Source organism: Homo sapiens, chromosome 19 (assembly GCF_000001405.40).
Source record: "Homo sapiens chromosome 19, GRCh38.p14 Primary Assembly".
Classification (NCBI taxonomy): domain Eukaryota; kingdom Metazoa; phylum Chordata; class Mammalia; order Primates; family Hominidae; genus Homo; species Homo sapiens.
Genome location: NC_000019.10, coordinates 3,956,908 through 3,975,516, shown reverse-complemented (window position 1 = coordinate 3,975,516; position 18,609 = coordinate 3,956,908). Strand labels below are relative to the sequence as shown.

The window sequence follows — 18,609 nt, the reverse complement described above, 5'->3', positions numbered from 1 at the left end:
TTACATGCGTGTGCTACCACGCCCAGCCAATTTTTATATTTTTAGTAGAGATGAGGTTTCACCATGTTGGCCTGGATGATCTTGATCACTCGACCTTGTGATCCACCCGCCTTGGCCTCCCAAAGCGTTGGGATTGTACCACTGTGCCCGGCCTTGTAAACACTTTTTTAGAGGCAGAGTCTTGCTGTCTCCCAGATGAGTATAGTGGTGCAGTCAGCTCACTGCATCCTCCACCTCCTGGACTCTCCTGCCTCAGCCTGCCAGGTAGCTGGGACTCCAGGCATGTGCCACCATGCCCAGCTAATTTTTATTTATTTTGAGACAGAATTTTGCTTGGCCTGGTTGGTCTCGAACTCCTGACCTCAAGTGATCTGCCCGCCTCGGCCTCCCAAAGTGCTGGGAATTATAGGCGTGAGCCACTGTGCTGACCTAATTTTTACTTTTTTTGTAGTAATGGGGTCTCACTATGTTGCTCAGGCTGGTCTCCTTCCCGGGCTCAAGCGATCCTTCTGCCTCAGCCTCCCAAAGTGCTGGGATTTCAGGTGTGAGCGCCAATAGCTTAGAAAACTATTTGTTTTTCTAAATAGTGCCTAAGATGTGAGGAGGCCTAATCTTGTCAGTGCTGATAAGGTTAACATGATCATTTTCCGCCTTTTACTCTGTCCTCAGGAAGGCAGGTGGGGACTGTGAAGTAGGGCTGTGGGGTTCTCGGCAAAGGCGGGGGCAGCTCTGGCCCTGCATTGTCAAGGCCAAGCCTCAGCTGAGGTTTTGCCCACATGTAGGTATGCCTGAGGTTTGGTTTGGCTGTCGCATTTGAATTGGGGCTGTAACTGACGCTGTTTCCAGCAGTCAGGGTAACGGATTACTGTGTTTCGAGAATCTCACTCTATCGCCCAGGATGGAGTGCAGTGTTGTGATCTTGGCTCACTATAGCCTCTGCCTCCGGATTCAAGTGCTCAAGCAATTCTTGTGCTTCAGCCTCCCGAGTAGCTGGAATTACAGGCGCCTATCACCAGGTCTGTGTAATTTTTGTATATTTAGGTGAGATGGGGTTTCACCATGTTGGCCAGGCTGGTCTCAAGCTCGACCGTAAGAGATCAGCCCGCCTCAGCCTCCCAAAGTGCTGGGGTTACAGGTGTGAGCCACCATACCGGGTCCTATTCTTTTTTAGTAGTGCAAACGTTAAGATGGTATGTGGAAGCTGAATTTTTTTTTTTTTTTGAGACAGTCTTTGCTCTGTCACCCAGGCTGGAGTGCAGTGGCTCAATCTTGGCTCACTGCAAGCTCCGCCTCCCGGGTTCACGCCATTCTCCTGCCTCAGCCTCCCGAGTAGCCGGGACTACAGGCGCCCGCCACCATGCCCGGCTAATTTTTTGTATTTATTAGTAGAGACAGGGTTTCACCGTGTTAGCCAGGATAGTCTCGATCTCCTGACCTCGTGATCCACCCGCCTCGGCCTCCCAAAGTGCTGGGAATTATAGGCGTGAGCCACTGTGCTGACCTAATTTTTACTTTTTTTGTAGTAATGGGGTCTCACTATGTTGCTCAGGCTGGTCTCCTTCCCGGGCTCAAGCGATCCTTCTGCCTCAGCCTCCCAAAGTGCTGGGATTTCAGGTGTGAGCGCCAATAGCTTAGAAAACTATTTGTTTTTCTAAATAGTGCCTAAGATGTGAGGAGGCCTAATCTTGTCAGTGCTGATAAGGTTAACATGATCATTTTCCGCCTTTTACTCTGTCCTCAGGAAGGCAGGTGGGGACTGTGAAGTAGGGCTGTGGGGTTCTCGGCAAAGGCGGGGGCAGCTCTGGCCCTGCATTGTCAAGGCCAAGCCTCAGCTGAGGTTTTGCCCACATGTAGGTATGCCTGAGGTTTGGTTTGGCTGTCGCATTTGAATTGGGGCTGTAACTGACGCTGTTTCCAGCAGTCAGGGTAACGGATTACTGTGTTTCGAGAATCTCACTCTATCGCCCAGGATGGAGTGCAGTGTTGTGATCTTGGCTCACTATAGCCTCTGCCTCCGGATTCAAGTGCTCAAGCAATTCTTGTGCTTCAGCCTCCCGAGTAGCTGGAATTACAGGCGCCTATCACCAGGTCTGTGTAATTTTTGTATATTTAGGTGAGATGGGGTTTCACCATGTTGGCCAGGCTGGTCTCAAGCTCGACCGTAAGAGATCAGCCCGCCTCAGCCTCCCAAAGTGCTGGGGTTACAGGTGTGAGCCACCATACCGGGTCCTATTCTTTTTTAGTAGTGCAAACGTTAAGATGGTATGTGGAAGCTGAATTTTTTTTTTTTTTTGAGACAGTCTTTGCTCTGTCACCCAGGCTGGAGTGCAGTGGCTCAATCTTGGCTCACTGCAAGCTCCGCCTCCCGGGTTCACGCCATTCTCCTGCCTCAGCCTCCCGAGTAGCCGGGACTACAGGCACCCGCCACCATGCCCGGCTAATTTTTTGTATTTATTAGTAGAGACAGGGTTTCACCGTGTTAGCCAGGATGGTCTTGATGTCCTGACTTCGTGATCTGCCCACCGTGGCCTCCCAAAATGCTGGAATTACAGGCGTTAGCCACCATGCCCTGCCACTTTTTTTTCTTTGAGATGGAGTCTCCCTCCGTCACCCAGGCTGTAGTATAGTGGCATGATCTCGGCTCGCTGCAACCTCCACCTCCTGGGTTCAAGCAATTCTCCTGCGCTAGCCTCCCGAGTAGCTGGGATTACAGGCATGTGCCACCAGGCCTGGCTAACTTTTGTATTTTTAGTAGAGACAGGGTTTCACCATGTTGAGCAGGCTGGTCTTGAACTCCTACTTCAAGTGACCTGCCCGCCTTGGCTGCCCAAGCTGTTGGGATTACGGGCGTGAGCCACCACACCTGGCCAACCCATTGTACGTTGAAAATGTAAATAAAAAATATAAAGGCCGGCTTGTGGCTCACGTCTGTAATCGCAGCACTTTGAGAGGCCGAGGCCGGCGGATCACAGATATTGAGACCATCCTGGCCAACATGGTGAAACCCTGCGTCTACTAAAAATACAAAAATCAGCTGGGAGTGGTGGCGTGCACCTGTAGTCCCAGCTACTCGGGAGGCTGAGGCAGGAGAATCGCTTGAACCCAGGAGGCAGAGATTGCAGTGAGCCCAGATCTCACCACTGCGTTCCAGCCTGGACGATAGAAGGAGACTGTCTCAAAAAAAAAAAAAAAAAAAAAAAAAGGCTGGGCAAGGTGGCTCATGCCTGTAATTCCTGCACTTTGGGAGGCCGAGGCGGGCGGATCAGGAGGTCAGGAGATCGAGACCATCCTGGCTAACACGGTGAAACCCTGTCTCTACTAATAAATACAAAAAATTAGCTGGGCGTGGTGACGGGCGCCTGTAGTCCCAGCTATTCGGGAGGCTGAGGCAGGAGAATGGCGTGAACCTGGGAGGTGGAGCTTGCAGTGAGCCGAGATTGTGCCAGTGTACTCCAGCCTGGGTGACAGAGCGAGACTCCGTCTCAAAATAATAATAAAAAATGAATTTAGGCCGGGCGCAATGGCTCACGCCTGTAATCTCAGCACTTTGGAAAGCTGAGGTGCCGGATCACCTGAGCTTAGGAGTTCGAGACCAGCCTGGGCAACATGGTGAAACCCCGTCTCTACTAAAAATACAAAAATTAGCCGGGCGTGGTGATGGGCACCTGTAATCCCAGCTACTTGGGAGGCTGAGGCACGAGAATCGTTTGAACCCGGGAGGTGGAGGTTGCAGTGAGCTGGATACCGCCGCTGCACTCCTGCCTGGGTGACAGAGTGAGACCCTGTCTCAAAAAATAAAATTAAAAAAAAAACAAACCTGATACCTCCCAGTGTTGTCAGTTGGCACATACTATGTCTCAATAAAATGCTTGCTGTTACCCTCTATTTTGAGACGAAGAGGGACCCTGTGTATGACAACCCCAGATTGACCTCATTTGCATTTTAAGTATTTAGAATGTGGGTAACAGTTTTCAGTGGAGGAAACTGCCACATAGGGACTAAAGCAGTCCCAGGGTCCACTCCAGGAGCTGCCAGGCGCGCTCGGCCACAGGTGAGCCATCCATTCGCCCAACCGGTGCTCCAGGAAGGCAGGAAGCGGGATGCAGGGCTTCAGCCTCACTTCTCGCAGCTTCAGCACCTGGGTCAGAGGAGAGGCGGGCGGGGCGATGAAGGGACCGGAAGTCGGCCTTTTTTCCGTCCGCTTGACCAGCGTCGACTGCAGCCAATGAAATCAGGGATGGCGAGTGTTCAGCCAGTGGTGAGGCTGCATCCGGGTGTGGGTGCCGAAAAGGCAGCTGGGGGCGGGACGTCGAGGTGCGGCACGAGCGGCGGGCGCACCGGCCAATAGGCGGCGGGGTTCGTTTCCCGGGGGTGGGCACTGGCGGGTGCGGTGACGTCGGCGCAGGCGCGTCGCGGCGGCAGGGGCGCGGGGCTTCTGGAGGCGGCGGCGGTGGCCAGCGCGGCGGCGCCGGCCGTATTCTCCGGGCTGCGGAGGGTAAAGAGCGGGCTCGGGCCGAGGCTGGAGGGCTGGGTGGGGCCAGAGCGGCGCTTCGGGGGCCCGCGGAGGACGAGGGAGGGAGAGAATCTGAGGAGCTGGTAGGTTTGGGGACCCATCTGGGTGACCGGGCCGGGGAAAGGGCTCGGCCGGGCGTGCGAGGGGCGTAGCGGCCCCAGGGATGCTGGAGCGGAGCCTTAGGGATGGGCAAGGCCTTGGGGGCGGGGGGAGGTTCTGCAAAGGGAGCCACTGGGGTCTGCCTAGGGGCTTGTGCGGAGATTGCGGGCGAGAAGGGGCAGAGGACGGTGGAGGAGACTCAGATGGGGCCCTTTTTGGCGGCCCGTTTTGGGGGGTAGGGGAGACGGCGGTTGGGGGACTTTGATACATGGAGCGTGGAGGAAGAGGTTAATCTTGCGAGGACAGTGGAGGTCAGCGGGGGAGGGAGGCAAAGTGGGCTTTCAGGAGCGTGGAAGGCGTCGTCCGGTTCTTGGAAAATTCAGAATTGGAGGGAGTCAGAGATGGTTGGGGGTGGGCGGGGGTGTTCCATCGATGAGGGTCTTAAGAGACCTGCCGAGGGCAAGGACCAGGAGGGGTTAAGGTAGTAACTTGGGAATTTTGATCGGAATGGCAGCACTTTGGGAGGCCTGGGACGATCGCTTGAGCCTTGGAGTTCCAGGCTGCAGTGAGCCATGATTGCACCACTGCACTCCAGCCAGGGCGACAGAGCGAGACTCCTTCTCAAAAAACAACAACACCAACAACAAAAGAAGTAGACTTGAGAACTTCGTTAAGACATTGGCCAGGGAGTAAGGTAGCCCTGGGATTTGAGGTTGAGGAGAACGTGCAGGAATGGTGGGGGATTTTGGCTGAGCAGGTTGAGAGAAGTCTAGGAGTGAGAGGCAAAAAAAGACGCAGGCAGCGTCGGGGAAATCAGAATTATGTGTCTGGAGAGAGTTTTGCGGGGTGAAGGTGGCCCAGTGGGGCTGTTACCAAACTTTTGAGTGGTTATGGGGCTCTAAGAGGTGACATGACAGGACCCAGCCCAGTAAACACAGCACCTCTTTTTGTCGAGTTTGGAGCTTCAGAGTGGAGAGGTGGGAGGCTTGTGTTTGCTGGACAGGTCTGTCCATTAATCTAGGAGAAAAGGGTGGTGTCTCAGTTCCTCACTTCTGTCTTTCCCTGTCTTCTCCAGGGTTGCCATTAGGGGACTCCTGAGGTCCTATCTCCAGGCTGCGGTGACTGCACTTTCCCTGGAGTGGAAGCTGCTGGAAGGCGGACCGGCCGCCATGTCCACGTTCAGGCAGGAGGACGTGGAGGACCATTATGAGATGGGGGAGGAGCTGGGCAGGTGAGCTGTCTGCCCGCACGGCTGGGCTCCAGGGATAGGAGAGAGGCGCTGTGGGGTTTTCTGAACAGCAGCTCTCCTTTCCTGTTCTTTATCCTGTATGCTGAGAAGGAATGAGTCAGTATCATGCGGTGGGGGAACGAATTTGGGCCGTGGAGTCAGACAGCCCCGGCTGTGAATTCCTGCTTGGGAATCCTCTGTGTGTTTCCTGTGGGGAGAAAAGTAATTGAGCCGTTACAGCAGCCAAGACCGTGCCTGGCATGGGGCACCAGAGCAACAGATGCCAGCTGCTTTTGTTATTAAAAGATGTGTCTTCTGCCTGGGCAACATAGCAAGACTCCATCCCTACAAAAAATAAAAATGAAAAAAAATTAACCAGGTGTGGTAGCTCATGCCTGTAGTCCCAGCTACTAGGGAAGCTGAGACGGGAGGATGGCTTGAGCCCAGGAGTTGGAGGAGGCTGCAGTGAGCTATGATCGTGCCACTGCACTGTAGCCTGGGCAACAGAGTGAAACCCCATTTATTTAAAAAAAAAAAAATCTCCCTGTGTTAATCCTCTTTTGTGGGAGGCACTTTAGTTTTTTTGCCCAGCTCTTGGATGTTTAAAGTGGGGGGAGGGAGGGGCGTGTCTCCCAGCTGGGCCCAAACCTCGGTCAATTGTTTAACATGCTTGTGGGAAAAAGCAGAGGTTTCCTCTTCCAGGGAGGCAGCTGATTTCCTGCCTGTCTGGGCCTTGGAGGGTCCCCCTGGGGCCCCACCCCCTCCAGACTAGCCAGGCACCACTAGGCCCTGCCTCCTTTTGTAGAGCCTCCAGCCTTATTTGGTGAGTTTGCTACTGGCCAGCCTCCCTGGAGCCTCCCCATGATGTCACCAGAAGGGAATGTAAATAAGTGAGCTCTGTGTCAGGCTAGGGAGAGTGCTGCAGGCTCTTTTGGGATCCTGAGGTCCCTCCTTCAGGAATTTCCTCGTTAGTGGCAGAGAAAGCATGCTCCCTCCTCCCCCTTCTCATGCTTCAGTGTTGACCCCTCCTGCTAGGGGTCGTTTGGCAAAAGTCAGCAAAATTCAGCCAAATTTCTTTTAACTCGCCGATTTCACCTCTAGGAATTAATTCATTGGAAAACTGTACATACATGGATGGAATGACTTAAGACTGGGGTAGTTGCTAGAACGTTTACCAGAATAACAGCCTTTTTTTTTTTTCCTTGACACTATCTCATTCTGTCGCCCAGGCTGGAGTGCAGTGATGCGATCTCGACTCATTGCAGCCTCGGCCTCCAGCCTAGCCTCCCGAGTAGCTGGGATTACAGGAGCCCGCCACCACCCCTGGCTAATTTTTGTATTTTTAGTAGAGACAGGATTTCACCATGTTGGCCAGGCTGGTCTCGAACTACTGACCTCAGGTGATTCACCTGCCTCGGCCTCCCAAAGTGCTGGGATCACAGGCGTGAGCCACCGCACCCCGCTGGGAACAGCAGCCTCTTAAATGGCCTTCCCCAAACCACTGCATCAGGGCTGGAATAGGATGCAGCTTGTAAAAAGAACCAGGCAGGGCCAGGTGCGGCGGCTTCCGCCTGTAATTCTAGCGCTTTGGGAGGCCAAGGCGGGAGGATCGCTTGAGCCCAGGACTTCAAGACTAGCCTGGGCAACATAAGTTGACCCCCATCTCTCAAACAAACAGAAATTCATAATTTTAAAAAAAGTATTTAGCCTTCTGTTTTTGCCGTGAAGCCTTGGAGGTCTGGTGTGTATTTCATGTCGCAGTTTTTCTCGGGACTGGCCACACCTCACGGGTTTGACAGCTCTGGGTGGCCAGTGTCTGCTGTTCTGACGGCACTGCTTCAGGTAGTGGTCTGGAACATTCTCAGAGATACATGAAGTGCAAGATGAAGGCCCAGAATGTAGCAATTTTTGTTTGTTTGTTTGAGACGGTGTCTGGCTCTGTTGCCGAGACTGGAGTGCAGTGGTGCCATCTTGGCTCACTGCAATCTTCGCCTCCCGGGTTCAAGTGATTCTCCTGCTTCAGCCTTCCAAGTAGCTGGAATTACAGGCGCCCACCAACGTGCTCAGCTAATTTTTGTATTTTTAGTAGAGACGGGGTTTTGCCATGTTGGCCAGGCTGGTCTTGAACTCCTGACCTCAAATGATCTGCCCGCCTCTGCCTCCCAAAGTGCTGGGATTACAGGTGTGAGCCACTGTGCCTGGCCCCAGCCCACACTTTTTTTTTGAGACGGAGTCTTGCAGTGTCGCCCGGGCTGGAGTGCAATGCCGCAATCTCAGCTCACTGCAACCTCCGTCTCCCAGGTTCAAGCGATTCTCCTTGCCTCAGCCTCCCGAGTAGCTGGGATTATAGATGCCTGCCAGCACGCCCGGCTAATGTTTTTGTATTTTTAGTAGAGACGTGGCTTTCACTATGTTGGTCAGGCTAGTCTTGAACTCCTGACATCGTGATCTGCACGCTTTTGCCTCCCAAAGTGCTGGGATTACAGGCGTGAGCCACTGTGCCCGGCTTCCCAGCCCGCATTTTTAAACATCATGAACTCTATCAGTAGAAATTGTCGGTGTGTAGGCCACGCTTGGGTCGTGTCTGGGTTGTGGCAGGCACTTAGGAAGTGGGTTGGGAGTGACACCTGAGACCATCACTGAGGAGGGCTTGCTGTGCCCCCACCTGCGCTGGGGGCTGGGGAAGTTACAGAGAAGCGAAGAGGGTGGGCTCAGCTCTTGGGGAGTTTCTTTCCCGGCTGGGGAGATGAGGCACGTTTCACATTCCGTAGAGGAACTGAGAGCCTGCCAGTGGCCTTGCCTCTAAGGAGCAAGTCTGTGGCCAGTGAGACCGGGGGCTGTCTGGAGGTGGGCGGCTGTGGTCTGCTGTTGCTGTAGGAGGACTCAGTGGCAGAACCTGAAATCTGGTTGGCAATAGCAAAACAGGGAAAGGCGTGGTTTACAGAACCAGGTTGTCCAGGTGTGCAGCGGCCGCAGGTGTGACTGGGTGCTGGTGCATATGGTGCCCTGTGTCCCCGGGGCCGAAGTCCACTCCAGCATGGAGGAGGCGCCCTGGCAGAGTGAATGACGGGGCTTATGTGCCACCCGCAGTGCCTGGTGGCTCCCCTCTCCTGGCCTGGTCTGTTCTTAGGCAGGCTTCTTAGGTAGCCTTCTACGTGGTGGCCCCTGCCGCGAGCCTGGATCCAAGCCCAGCAGAGGGAGAGAGAGATCCTCTCTTCCCAGCAGGCGTTCAGAGCCCTGTGGACTGGACCGGTCTCTTTGGGCTGGAAGGCGTGGTTTTCTGCTTGCCCAGGTCCAGTCGTGTCCCCTTCCACCCCTTTCCTGGGCCACTGAGTCCCACAGACTGAGAGTGAGCGGCAAAGGCTGCCCTGGGACAGCTGGGTCTGTTAGCAGGAGACAGCGTGGAGCCGGGAGGTAGGCACGCAGGAACCCGGTACCCAGCAGCAGCTGTCTGCTTCCTGTTAGAGCACCTGGGCTCTGGAGCCTGCAGCACCTGGTTTGAAGGTTTGAATCCTCCCGCCACTGACTGACTGCATGACCTTGGGCTAGTTGCTTTCCTTTTCTCAGCCTTGGTTTCTTTAAAATGCGGATACTGGCCAGATGTAGCGGCTCCACCTGTACTGCCAACACTTGGGGTGGGGGAGTGGGAGGATCTCTTGAGGCCAGGAGTTCCAAAGCAGCCTGGGCAATACGGCAAGACCCTGTCTCTACAAAAAATAAATAAATCAGGTGTGGTAGTGTGTTCCTGTAGTCCCACCTACTTGGGAGGGATCACTTGAGCCCAGGAGTTCGAGACCAGCGTGGGCAACATAGTGAGACCTCATCCTTACAAAAAGAAAAAAAAATTAATTGGGTGTGGTGGTATGTGCCTGTAGTCCCAGCTGCTTGAGAGGCTGAGGCAGGAGGATTGCCCGAGCCCAGGAGGTCAAGGCTGCAGTGAGCCATGACTGAACCACTGCATTCCAGCCTGAGCAACAGGGCCAGACCCTGTCTCAAGACAAAACAAAACAAAAACAAAAAAAGCGGATCTGGCACTTGCCTTGCACTTTTTATTTTTTTGAGGCAGGATCTTGCTACGTTGCCCAGGCTGGAGTACAGTGGCACAATCTCAGTTCACTGCAACCTCTGCCTCCCAGGTTCAAGCGATTCTCCTGCCTCAGCCTCCCAAGTAGCTGGGATTACAGGCACCCGCCACCACACCCAGCTAATTTTTTGTATTTTTGGTAGAGACAGGGTTTCACCATGTTGGCCAGGCTGCTCTTGAACTCCTCAGCTCAAGTTATCTGCCCTCCTCGAACTCCCAAAGTGCTGGGATTACAGGCGTGAGCCACCGCGCCTGGCCCCCTCAGTTCCCTCTTGATATGCATTGAACTGTTCATTCTTTCACTTTTCAAAAATACGCCGGTGCCATGGTGTTAACGTGTGGCTCTGCACTCCCCTCCACACACCTGCTGGGCATAGCCCTGGGAGGGGTGGGAACGCCGCGTCTGATGGTGTGGGGCGCTAAGGAATTGCTCTCTGAGAAGGCGCAGAGTCTGCACCCCCGCAGTGGCCAGCTCATGTCCTTCAAGTGCCTGGTGCAGGGCCGCGCCCAAGAGGAGCAAGTGGAGGTGACGGGGAGCCAGCCACCCCCACTTACTCCCTCCGCCTCCTCCACCCCCACTCACTCCCTCCCCCTCCTCCAGCGGCCAGTTTGCGATCGTGCGGAAGTGCCGGCAGAAGGGCACGGGCAAGGAGTACGCAGCCAAGTTCATCAAGAAGCGCCGCCTGTCATCCAGCCGGCGTGGGGTGAGCCGGGAGGAGATCGAGCGGGAGGTGAACATCCTGCGGGAGATCCGGCACCCCAACATCATCACCCTGCACGACATCTTCGAGAACAAGACGGACGTGGTCCTCATCCTGGAGCTGGTCTCTGGCGGGGAGCTCTTTGACTTCCTGGCGGAGAAGGAGTCGCTGACGGAGGACGAGGCCACCCAGTTCCTCAAGCAGATCCTGGACGGCGTTCACTACCTGCACTCTAAGCGCATCGCACACTTTGACCTGAAGGTGAGCCCTGTAGGGCCCTGTGGGGCCGGCCTGGCCAGTGTGGGGGTGGGGATGGGGCGGGGAAGAGCCTGGAAGGCACCTCCTGCGCGTGGGGGTGAGGTGTGGGGAGCGTGGGGGTGAGGTTTGGGGAGCGTGGGGGTGAGGTTGGGGGAGCGTGGGGGTGAGGTTGCGGGGAGCGTGAGGGTGAGGTTTGGGGAGCGTGGGGGTGAGGGTGGGGGAGGCCCGTGCTTTCCCTGCTGAGCCTCCTCCCACCCCAGCCGGAAAACATCATGCTGCTGGACAAGAACGTGCCCAACCCACGAATCAAGCTCATCGACTTCGGCATCGCGCACAAGATCGAGGCGGGGAACGAGTTCAAGAACATCTTCGGCACCCCGGAGTTTGTGGGTGAGGCCCTGCCCAGTGGGCAGCCCCGGCCTGGGGAGGGTGGTCTGGGGCTGCCTGCTGTGCGTGGGGTGGGTCATGCCCGGTGCTGGGTGCCGCGTCCTCGGCCCTGAAGCCACCCCTCTTGGGCCCGGCTTTGCGGGAGGTCTGGGCCTCCATTTGGTGCAGCCCCGCTGTCCTACCCGTCAGGCCCTGAGGGCCAGCTCTGCCGCATTCATGCCCCCAAGGGCTGCGACATGTGAGAACCTTGACCCCATGCCTGTGTCTTGAGCCTCTTCCTTGGCCAGCATGTCCCCAGTGCCTGACCCACATCTCCCTGTTCTGCAGCCCCAGAGATTGTGAACTATGAGCCGCTGGGCCTGGAGGCGGACATGTGGTGAGTGTACCACCTGCTCCCACCGGGCCTCCCTGCATTCCTGGAGCGCAGGCCAGTGCTGCAGCTGGGGATGAAGCGGGGCCTTGCTGCTGTTGGGGTATGGGGGGACCGTTGCCCTAGAACAGGGGCGCTGGACGCCACGGTCCTGGGAGGGTGGGCGGCCCCACGCTGCGCTGACCCTTGCCTCTTGTCTGTCCCCAGGAGCATCGGTGTCATCACCTATATCCTGTGAGTACCTGGCGGGGGCCCCCTCGGCTGTGCAACACAGCTGGCATGGGTCCCCGGCTCCGTGTGTCTCATGTGGACGCCAGGGGTCCCCAGCCTGGCTGTGACCCATCGCGGGTACTCAGGGGATACCGGGTGAACGGATGAGTGATTCTCTGTGGCTGCTGTCACAGAGGCTTCTGGAGAGTTCTGAAGGCAGGACACTCACAGAGCGGCTGAGCAGGCTCCGGGTTGGGGGTCGTGTGTGCTCCTGTCCCTCTGGCTGCTAGGGAGCCCAGCCTCCTCTCGAAGTGCAAGGAAGGGGTCCGACCCCACGCTGGGTTTTGGCTCCTGTCCCTGGGCCACACGTGGGCCTGCTGTTGTTTATTATTTTTATTTGTTGAGACGGGGTCTTACTCTCTTGCCCAGGCTGGAGTGCTGTCCTAGCTCACTGCAGCCTCCACCTCCCAGACTTAAGCAATCCTCCCACCTCAGCCTCCTGAGTACCTGGGACTACATGTGCACACAACCATGCTCCCATGCTCGGACTTTTTTTTTTTTTTGATGGAGTTTTGCTCTTGTTGTCCAGGTTGGAGTGCAGTGGTGCGATCTCAGCTGCTCACTGCAACCCCCACCTCCCAGGTTCAAGCGATTCTCCTGCCTCAGTCTCCTGAGTAGCTGGGATTACAGGCGCCCACCACCATGCCCAGCTAATTTTTGTATTTTTAGAAGAGACGGGGTTTCACCATGTTGATCAAGGCTGGTTTTGAACTCCTGACCTCAGGTGATCTGCCTGCCTCGGCTTCCCAAAGTGCTGGGATTACAGGCGTGGGCCGCTGCACCCAGCTGGCTAATTTTTTTTTTTTTTTTTTTTTTTTTGAGACAGAGTTTCGCTCTTGTTGCCCAGGCTGGATGAAGTGCCAAGGCCCCGTCTCAGCTCAGGCTTACTGCAACCTCTGCCTCCCGGGTTCAAGTGATTCCCATGCCTCAGCCTCCCAAGTAGCTGGGATTACAGGTGCCTGCCACCATGCCTGGCTAATTATTTGTATTTTTAGTAGAGACGATGTTTCACCATTTCGGTCAGGCTGGTCTTGAACTCCAGACCTCAAGTGATCCGGCCGCCTTGGCCTCCCAGAATGCTGGGATGACAGGTGTGAGCCACCGTGCCCAGCTGGCTAATTTTTAAAAGTTTTTGTAGAGGTGGAGTTTCACTGTGTTGCCCAGCCATATTGAATGGGCATAGCTCATTCAGTAAGCAAGGAAATAAACAATGGCGTGGGCCCAGCCCGCTGTAGTGCGTGAGCGGACCCAAAGGCTTCAGGAGATGGGCTAGACCGTTTGTATTCTTTTTAAATGTTCAGATAATTCAGACTTACAAAGGAGCAACAGAAACAGCACAGACGCCCCCTGCAGCTTCCTCCTCCTTCAGTTTACATTTTTCATGAACACGAACGTTATGAACACCAAGACGTTAGCCTTGGTGCTACGCTAATCACAAAAGTGCTAGATGGGCCGGGTGCGATGGCTCACGCCTGTAATCTCAGCACTTTGGGAGGCTGAGGAGGGCAGATCACGAGGTCAGGGCATTGAGACCATCCTGGCTAACACGATGAAACCATGTCTCTACTAAAAATACAAAAATTAGCTGGGTGTGGCAGCGGGTGCCTGTAGTCCCAGCTACTCAGGAGGCTGAGGCAGGAGAATGGCATGAACCCAGGAGATGGAGTTTGCAGTGAGCCGAGATCGCGCTACTGCACTCCAGCCTGGGTGACAGAGCGAGACTCCGTCTCTAAAAAATTTAAAAAATTTAAAGTGCCAGAGGTGGTTAGACACCCCCGTTTTCCACTCCTGTCCTCTCTGAGGTCCCCACACGGCATTTAGCCATTCAGCTCCTTCGCCGCCTCCAGTCTGAGGCTGTTCCTCTGTCTGGCTTTCATGACCTTGACCCTGACTTGTGCTCACGGGTCAGGTGTTTTGCAGAAGGCGTCTGAGTCCACGTTTAGTCTCGTGCGCTGTCACGATCAGACGATCAGACGGGGCTTCAGTGTCTCTGCTCAAAACCCCAGGGATGATGCTGTGTCACCCTCCCAGCGTCAGGCTGGGAGGCAGACGCTGTTGGGGCCTCTCACTGCCGGGCTGTTGACCTTGATCCTTTGGCTAAGGTGTTGGCTCGGGCTCCCCACTGCAGTTACCCTCCCCTCGGCGTTACTGAGCACTGGGGGCTTTCGGGCTCTGCGTCTGCACAGATACTTCGAGTCTCCAAGGAGACTTCTGCCTGTTCATTTCTGCTGCTGTCAGTGGCGGGGTGGGGGGGTGGATTTTGAATGCCTCTTGGGTGGTGTCTGGGATCGTTGCAGGAAGGTTCTAAGGGCTCAGGAGTGTGAGTGGCCCAGGCACCTGCCGTCAGCCTGTCTTCTGTGCTCCGCCTGTCGTGGGCAGCCGGAGAGGCGGCGCGGCCGTGGTGGGAGCCCAGGACCCCACTGAGCCCCCACGCCTGTCTCGCAGCCTGAGCGGTGCATCCCCGTTCCTGGGCGAGACCAAGCAGGAGACGCTCACCAACATCTCAGCCGTGAACTACGACTTCGACGAGGAGTACTTCAGCAACACCAGCGAGCTGGCCAAGGACTTCATTCGCCGGCTGCTCGTCAAAGATCCCAAGTACGAGGGGCCGGCAGGGGGCACGGGGTGGGACATGGGACACAGGCCCACTCCACCCACGGAGGCTCCAGAGGACTCTCCTCCCAGCGCCACCTCCCTGCGGCTGGGGATCAGACATTGCTTACCCCTTGGGCTGGAGAGAGTAAACTGATAAACTGGTGGCCCAAGCTGGCCATTGCCATGGTTTTTTTTTTTTTTTTTTTTTGAGACGGAGTCTTTTTTTTTGAGACGGAGTCTTGCTCTGTCTCCCAGGCTGGAGTGCAGTGCAGTGGCGTGATCTCGGCTCACTGCAGCCTCTGCCTCCCGGGTTCAGGCTATTCTCCTGCGTTAGCCTCCCAAGTAGCTGGGATTATAGACGCCCGCCACCACGCCTGGCTAATTTTTGTATTTTTAGTAGAGACAGGGCTTCACCATGTTGCCCAGGCTTGTCTTGAACTCCTGACCTCCTTGGTTTGTGATTTGCCTGCCTTGGTCTCCCAAAGTGCTGGGATTGCGGGCGTGAGACACCGTGTCTGGCTGCTTGCTGTGTTTTTAGCAAACTTTTAATTAGTTGCCGGTGTGTAAAGTAAGGATCCATGTAAAATTCCAGGTCACTTGTTTTCCTGTAAACACTTAGAATTCTGGCAGTGCTGAGCCCTCACTCGTAGGCCTCCCCGGGCCTCCATGGCCGCCCAGTCCCTCTCTCGGGCGCCTGGGTTTGCGACTCCAGCCTGAGGTCTCAGCTCTCTCCACCACCCCCCAGAAAACCCCACGCTCCCTGCAGTACCCTTGTTCAGCTTCTGTGGTTGGCTGAGCAGAGGCTGGGGGGCGACTTTAGGGCTTTTGGGGGTCCCGGGAGTCAGTTGTTCACGGGAGGACGGGACAGATGGTGCAGGTGTACCTAACCAGAGCGGGGGTCTTCCAGGCGGAGAATGACCATTGCCCAGAGCCTGGAACATTCCTGGATTAAGGTAAGTGGGGAGGTGGGGGAGCTCCCTGGGCTTCCCGCCTTGGCCTTCTCGCTGGGGTCCCGGGGGGCCTTCAGCATTTAAGGCTTGTGGATGTGACAACCCCCAGTGGCTGGGGAGGGTCCCCAGAGGAGTGAGCCTGTGTGGCGGGGGTTGGGTCCTGGGCGTGGGATGTCCAGCACCCGACAGACCTGGTGGCATCCTTGGCTGGTGTGTGTCCAACGGGGCTGACTCCTGGGGCCAGGGCCGCAGCGTTTTTCTCGAGAGAGCACTCTCGGCTTTGCGTCGGGCTGGGCAGTCTCCGTCACGAGGCGTTGACTCTGCTGCCGGATGAGCCCCTGAACCTCAGTTCACACTGGCAGGTGGGGGCTGGCGGGGCTGGGTGGCATCGCGGGGACCCCGCTCAGGCTTCCCTCCTTCCTAGGCGATCCGGCGGCGGAACGTGCGTGGTGAGGACAGCGGCCGCAAGCCCGAGCGGCGGCGCCTGAAGACCACGCGTCTGAAGGAGTACACCATCAAGTCGCACTCCAGCTTGCCGCCCAACAACAGCTACGCCGACTTCGAGCGCTTCTCCAAGGTGCTGGAGGAGGCGGCGGCCGCCGAGGAGGGCCTGCGCGAGCTGCAGCGCAGCCGGCGGCTCTGCCACGAGGACGTGGAGGCGCTGGCCGCCATCTACGAGGAGAAGGAGGCCTGGTACCGCGAGGAGAGCGACAGCCTGGGCCAGGACCTGCGGAGGCTACGGCAGGAGCTGCTCAAGACCGAGGCGCTCAAGCGGCAGGCGCAGGAGGAGGCCAAGGGCGCGCTGCTGGGGACCAGCGGCCTCAAGCGCCGCTTCAGCCGCCTGGAGAACCGCTACGAGGCGCTGGCCAAGCAAGTAGCCTCCGAGATGCGCTTCGTGCAGGACCTCGTGCGCGCCCTGGAGCAGGAGAAGCTGCAGGGCGTGGAGTGCGGGCTGCGCTAGGCGCAGTGGGGTGGGCCAGGCCCCAGGACAGCCGGAGCTCGGCCTGCGGTGGGGGCGCTTCCTGTGGACGCTGCGCCTCCCATCGCCCGGGTGCCTGTCCTTGCCCAGCGCCACCAGGCTGGAGGCGGAGTGGGAGGAGCTGGAGCCAGGCCCGTAAGTTCGCAGGCAGGGGTGGGTGTGGGACGGGGCTGCTTCTCTACACAGCCTCCACGCTGGCCTTCACCTTCACCCCTGCATCGTCGGTGACCCTGGGACCCTCCAGGCAGCGTGGCCTGTGGCACCGTGAGGGTTGGGACCCACCGAGGCGCAGAGGCGGCCCGAATGCAGCCCTGGTTCAGGCCCGGAGGAGGGTTTGCGGGTAGTTGCACGGACAATTCGGCGGGGTGCTGCCTGTTGCTGCCATTAGCCCAGGAGGAGGTCGTGGGACGGGGAGGGTGGGATGGACGGCGGACAGGCAGTCCCCACGCTGCTGGGTGGCGCCGGGCTTGGTGGGGTCTTCCACTGTGTGCCCTTCTCGCCGAGGCCGGTCCCCCGGGTGTGGGGTGCCCTGCTGCGGACTCCTCCGCGAGCCCCATCGTCGCGCCTGTGGACGCCTAGGCAAGAGCGGCCCTCTGCAGCCAAGAGAAATAAAATACTGGCTTCCAGATACGCGGGTGTTGTGTGCCTCAGGCCTTGGCAGGGGACAGCCAGCCCTTGGCCACTGGGGATATGCCCTCCGCGGCGTTCATGTTTCTCTCTGTGTTCCATGCCTGCCGCTGTGCTCAGGAAGGAGGGGACAAACCGGGGGTCCTCGCAGACCTTCACGGTGTCCTGGGAGCTGCCGGATCTTGGTCTCAGCTGCCCCGAGTGTTTTGATTGCAATGAGGTGGAAGCTCTGGGCAGCTGAGGTGGATCAGAAGCGTTTCCTGTCCCTTTGCGCCTTACGGGATGCTGCTGTGTCCCACGTGGGAGCCCCTGCCCCGTCTGGAGCCACATGCAGGTGGCCCTGGAGGGGGAGCGGCTCAGCTCAGCTGCTAGGGCTCACAGGTGGTTTCAGAGAGGGGCCCCGACCCTGTCCATCCTCCCTGGAGGAAGTTTTTTTGCTTTTTTTTTTTTTTTTTTTTTTGAGAGCGAGTCTGGCCCTGTTGCCCAGGCTGGAGTGCAGTGGTGCGATCTTGGCTCACTGTAACCTCGGTCTCCTGGACTCAAGCGGGTCTCCTGTCTCAGCCTCCCAGGTGTCTGGGATTACAGGCATACACCACCACACGTGGCTAATTTTTTTTTTTTTTTTTTTGAGGTGGAGTTTTGCTCTTGTTGCCCAGGCTGGAGTGCAGTGGTGTGGTCTTGGCTCACCGCAACCTCCGTCTCCCATGTTCAAGCGATTCTTCTGCCCCAACCTCGCGAGTAGCTGGGTTTACAGGCATGTACCACCACACCGGGCTAATTTTGTATTTTTAGTAGAGGCAGGGTTTCACCATGTTGGTCAGGCTAGTCATGAACTCCCGACCTCAGGTGATCCGCCCGCCTCAGCCTCCCAAAGTGCTGGGATTACAGGCGTGAGCCACCATGCCTGGCCGTAATTTTTGTATTTTTAACAGAGATGGGGTTTCACCATGTTGGCTAGGCTGGTCTCGAACTTCTGACCTCAATTGATCTGCCCTTCTTGTGCTCCCAAAGTGCTGGGATTACAGGCGTGAGTCACCGCATCTGGCCATTTTTTTTTTTAACTTTTTTTTTTCTTTCATTGAGCTATGATTCACACACCCTAAAATCTTTCTTTTAAAGTGTGCAATTCAGTGGTTTTATACATTCACAGAGGCAGGAAAAGGTACATCCACACAAAAATTGTATGTGAGCCAGGTGTAGTGGGGTTGCCTGTGGTCCCAGCTACTCAGGAGGCTGAGACGGGAGGATCACTTGAGCTCTGGAGGTGGAGGCTGCAGTGAGCTGTGATCCCGCCACTGCACTCCAGCCTTGGTGACAGAGCAACACCTTGTCTCATAAATGCACGGTACACCGGGCACGGTGGCTCACGCCTGTAATCTCAGCACTTTGGGAGGCTGAGGTGGGCGGATCACGAGGTCAGGAGATCGAGACCATCCTGGCTAACACGGTGAAACCCCATCCCTACTAAAAATACGAAAAAAAAAATTAGCTGGGTGTGGTGGCACCTGTAGTCCCAGCTACTCGGGAGGCTGAGGCAGGAGAATGGCG

General features: G+C 56.6%; 1 protein-coding gene and 1 non-coding gene across 3 annotated transcripts, besides 4 other annotated features; both read left to right on the top strand.

Moving 5' to 3' along the window:
- Positions 4,418-17,064, top strand: DAPK3 (death associated protein kinase 3). 2 transcript variants are annotated; one of them, NM_001375658.1, is made up of 9 exons: positions 4,418-4,495; positions 5,688-5,843; positions 10,526-10,886; positions 11,144-11,273; positions 11,598-11,646; positions 11,848-11,874; positions 14,356-14,508; positions 15,413-15,458; positions 15,880-17,064. In NM_001375658.1, exons 2-9 carry the CDS (start codon positions 5,782-5,784, stop codon positions 16,414-16,416), a joined length of 1,365 nt encoding a protein of 454 aa, NP_001362587.1. In that variant the 5' UTR covers positions 4,418-4,495; positions 5,688-5,781; the 3' UTR covers positions 16,417-17,064. The 2 variants fall into 2 exon arrangements, with proteins under 2 accessions (NP_001362587.1, NP_001339.1); NM_001348.3 differs by having other exon boundaries at positions 4,418-4,596.
- Positions 4,434-4,563: a silencer, noted in NCBI's record as "silent region_9864". NCBI's record gives its function as "represses an Ori minimal core promoter by ATAC-STARR-seq in GM12878 lymphoblastoid cells {active_cell/tissue: GM12878}" and the evidence as "EXISTENCE:reporter gene assay evidence [ECO:0000049][PMID:35858748]".
- Positions 4,735-5,366: an enhancer, noted in NCBI's record as "NANOG-H3K27ac-H3K4me1 hESC enhancer chr19:3970149-3970780 (GRCh37/hg19 assembly coordinates)". NCBI's record gives its function as "activates a minimal SCP1, AML or CMV promoter by ChIP-STARR-seq in naive H9 embryonic stem cells {active_cell/tissue: H9 hESC(naive)}" and the evidence as "EXISTENCE:reporter gene assay evidence [ECO:0000049][PMID:30033119]".
- Positions 5,367-5,996: an enhancer, noted in NCBI's record as "H3K27ac hESC enhancer chr19:3969519-3970148 (GRCh37/hg19 assembly coordinates)". NCBI's record gives its function as "activates a minimal SCP1, AML or CMV promoter by ChIP-STARR-seq in primed H9 embryonic stem cells {active_cell/tissue: H9 hESC(primed)}" and the evidence as "EXISTENCE:reporter gene assay evidence [ECO:0000049][PMID:30033119]".
- Positions 5,552-5,846: a silencer, noted in NCBI's record as "tiled region #11828; K562 Repressive DNase matched - State 1:Tss". NCBI's record gives its function as "represses a minimal TATA promoter and a strong SV40 promoter by Sharpr-MPRA in K562 cells {active_cell/tissue: K562}" and the evidence as "EXISTENCE:reporter gene assay evidence [ECO:0000049][PMID:27701403]".
- MIR637 (microRNA 637) lies at positions 14,005-14,103 on the top strand. The gene has a single exon (NR_030367.1). It is a non-coding gene; the product is annotated as a microRNA 637 (primary transcript).
- Positions 17,065-18,609: the final 1,545 nt, after the last annotated feature.

Excerpts from the sequence above, each read along its gene's own strand:
- DAPK3 (NM_001375658.1), top strand. The coding sequence starts at position 5,782 with ATGTCCACGTTCAGGCAGGAGGACGTGGAGGACCATTATGAGATGGGG. Across the intron at positions 5,844-10,525 it reads ATGGGGGAGGAGCTGGGCAG|CGGCCAGTTTGCGATCGTGC; the intron begins GTGAGCTGTCTG and ends CCCCTCCTCCAG. Across the intron at positions 11,875-14,355 it reads GGTGTCATCACCTATATCCT|CCTGAGCGGTGCATCCCCGT; the intron begins GTGAGTACCTGG and ends CCTGTCTCGCAG.